The sequence below is a fragment of the Homo sapiens genome, chromosome 5, assembly GCF_000001405.40.
Source record: "Homo sapiens chromosome 5, GRCh38.p14 Primary Assembly".
Lineage (NCBI taxonomy): Eukaryota > Metazoa > Chordata > Mammalia > Primates > Hominidae > Homo > Homo sapiens.
The window spans coordinates 50,241,068-50,243,966 of NC_000005.10; the positions used below are offsets into that span (position 1 = coordinate 50,241,068).

The window sequence follows — 2,899 nt, forward strand, 5'->3', positions numbered from 1 at the left end:
GAGTGTTTCCAAAATGTTCAATCAAAAAAAAAACTTCAATTCTGTGAGATGAATACACACATCACAAATAAGTTTCTCAGAAGGCTTCTGTCTAGTTTTTATGTGAAGATATTTCCTTTTCAGCTATAAGAATCAAAGCGTTCCAAATATCCATTTGCAGATAGTACAAAAAGAGTGTTTCCAAACTGCTCAATCAAAAGAAAGGTTCAACTCGGTTAGTTGAATGCACACATCACAAAGAAGTTTCTGAGAATGCTTCTGTCTAGTTTTTATGTAAAGATACTCATAGCACTCCAAATATCCACTTGCAGATTCTACAAAAAGAGTGTTTCAAAACCGCTCATTCAAAAGAAAGATTCAACTCTGTGAGATGCATGCACACTTCACAAAGAAGCTTCTCAGAAGGCTTCTCTCTTGTTTTTATGTGAAGATATTCCCTTTTCAGCTATAGACCTCAAAGTGCTCCAAAAATTCATTTGCAGATACTACATAAAGATTGTTTCCTAACTGCTCAATGAATAGAAATGTTCAACTTTGTGAGTTGAATGCACACACCACAAAGAAGTTTCTGAGAATGTATCTGTCTAGTTTTTATGTGAATATGTTTCCTTTTCCACCATAGGCTTCAAAGCACTCCAAATATAAACTTGCAGATTCTATAAAAAGAGTGTCTCAAAACTGCTCAAACAAAGGAACGGTTCAACTCTGTGAGATGAATGCACACATCACAGATAGTTTCACAGAATGCTTCTGTCTAGTTTTTATATGTGAAGATATTTGCTTTTCAGCTATAGGAATCAAATCGCTCCAAATATCCATTTGCAGATACTACAAAAACTGTGTTCCTGAACTGCTCAATCAAAAGAAAGATTCAACTCTCTGAGTTGAATGCTCACTTCACAAAGAAGTTTCTCGGAATGTTTCTGTCTAGTTTTTATATGAAGATATTTCCTTTTCTGCTATAGGCCTAAAAACGCTCCATATATCAATTTGCAGATACTACAAAAAGTCTGTTTCCATACTGCTCAATCGAAAGAAAGGTTCAATTCTGTGAGATGAGTGCACACATCACAAAGAAGTTTCTCAGAATTCTTCTGTCAAGTTTTTATGTGAAGATATTTCCTATTTCCCCATTGGTTTCACGGGGCTCACAAATATCCCTTTGTGAATTCTACTAAATAACTGTTTCCAAACTGCTCAATCGAAAAAAGGTTCAATTCTGTGAGATGAATGCACACATCACAAAGAAGTTTCTCAGAATTCTTCTGTCAAGTTTTTATGTGAAGATATTTCCTATTTCCCCATTGGTTTCAAGGGGCTCACAAATATCCCTTTGTGAATTCTACTAAACGACTGTTTCCAAACTGCTCAATCCAAACAAATGTTCAACTCTGTTAGATGAATGTACACATCAAAAAGAAGTTTCTCAGAATGCTCTGTCTAGTTTTTTTGGGAAGATAGTTCCTTTTCGATCGTAGTCCTCAAAATGCTCAAAACATCCACTTGCATATTCTACAAAAAGAGAGTTTTGAAATAGCTCAAATAAAAGAAAGTTTCAACTGGGTGAGATGACAGTACACATCCAAAAGAGGTTTCTGAGAATGTTTCTGTTTAGTTTTTATGTGAAGGTATTTCGTATGTCCCCATAGGCCTCAAGGGCCCCCATATATCCCTTTGCAGATTCTACAAAACTACTGTTTCCAAACTGGTCAATCAAAAGAAATGTTCAAATCTGTGAGATGAAATCATACATCACCAAGTAGTTTCTCAGAATGCTTCTTTCTAGTTTTTATGTGAAGATATTTCCTTTTCCACCATAGGCCTCAAAGCTCTCCAAAAATTCACTTGCAGATTCTACAAAAAGAGTGTTTCCAAATTGCTCAATCAAAGGAAAGGTGCAACTCTGTGAGTTGAATTCACACATCACAAAGTAGTTTCTCAGAATGTTTCTGTCTAGTATTTATATGAAGATATTACCTTTTTCCTCATAGGCCAAAAAGAGCTCAAAGTATCCATTTGCAAGTACTACAAAAAGATTGTTTCCAAACCTCTCATTCAAAAGAAAGGTTCAACTCTGTGAGATGCATACACACGTGTCAAAGAATTTTCTCAGAATTCTACTTTGTCTAGTTTTTATGTGAAGATATTTCCTTTTTCACCCTAGGCCTCAAATCGCTCCAAATATCCCTTCTCAGATACTACAAAAAGACAGTTTTCAAACTGCTCAATCAAAATAAATTTTCAACTCTGTGAGATGAATGCACACTTCACAATGGAGTTTCTCAGAATGCTTCTGTCTAGTTTTTATGTGAAGATATTTCCTTTTCCACCACAGGCCTCAAAGCTCTCCAAATATCCACTTGCAGATACTTCAAAGAGAGTGTTTCAAAACTGCTCAATCAAAAGAAATGTTCAACTCTGTGAAATGAATGCACACATAACAAAGAAGTTTATCAAAATGCTTCTGTCTAGTTTTTATGTGAATATATTTCCTTTTTCACCATAGTCCTCAAAGTGCTCCAAGAATCCATTTGCAGATGATACAGATAGACAGTTTCCAAACTGCTCAATCAAAATAAATGTTCAACTCTGTAAGATGAATTCACACCTCTCAAAGAAGTTTCTCAGAATGCTTCTGTCTAGTTTTTATGTGAAGATATTTCATTTTCCACAATAGGCCTCAAAGCACTCCAAATATCCACTTGCAGATTCTACAAAAAGATTGCTTCAAAGCTACTCAATCAAAAGAAATGTTCAACTCTCTGAGATGAATGCACAAATCACAAAGAAGTTTCTCAGAATGCTTCTGTCTAGTTTTTATGTGAATATATTTCCTTTTTCTCAATAGGCCTAAAAGCCCTCCACATATCCATTTGCAGATACTATAAAAAGACTGTTT

The 2,899-nt window shown here is 35.0% G+C and overlaps 1 annotated feature.

The window, feature by feature from the left end:
• Nucleotides 2,102-2,603: an enhancer, noted in NCBI's record as "NANOG hESC enhancer chr5:49539003-49539504 (GRCh37/hg19 assembly coordinates)". NCBI's record gives its function as "activates a minimal SCP1, AML or CMV promoter by ChIP-STARR-seq in primed H9 embryonic stem cells {active_cell/tissue: H9 hESC(primed)}" and the evidence as "EXISTENCE:reporter gene assay evidence [ECO:0000049][PMID:30033119]".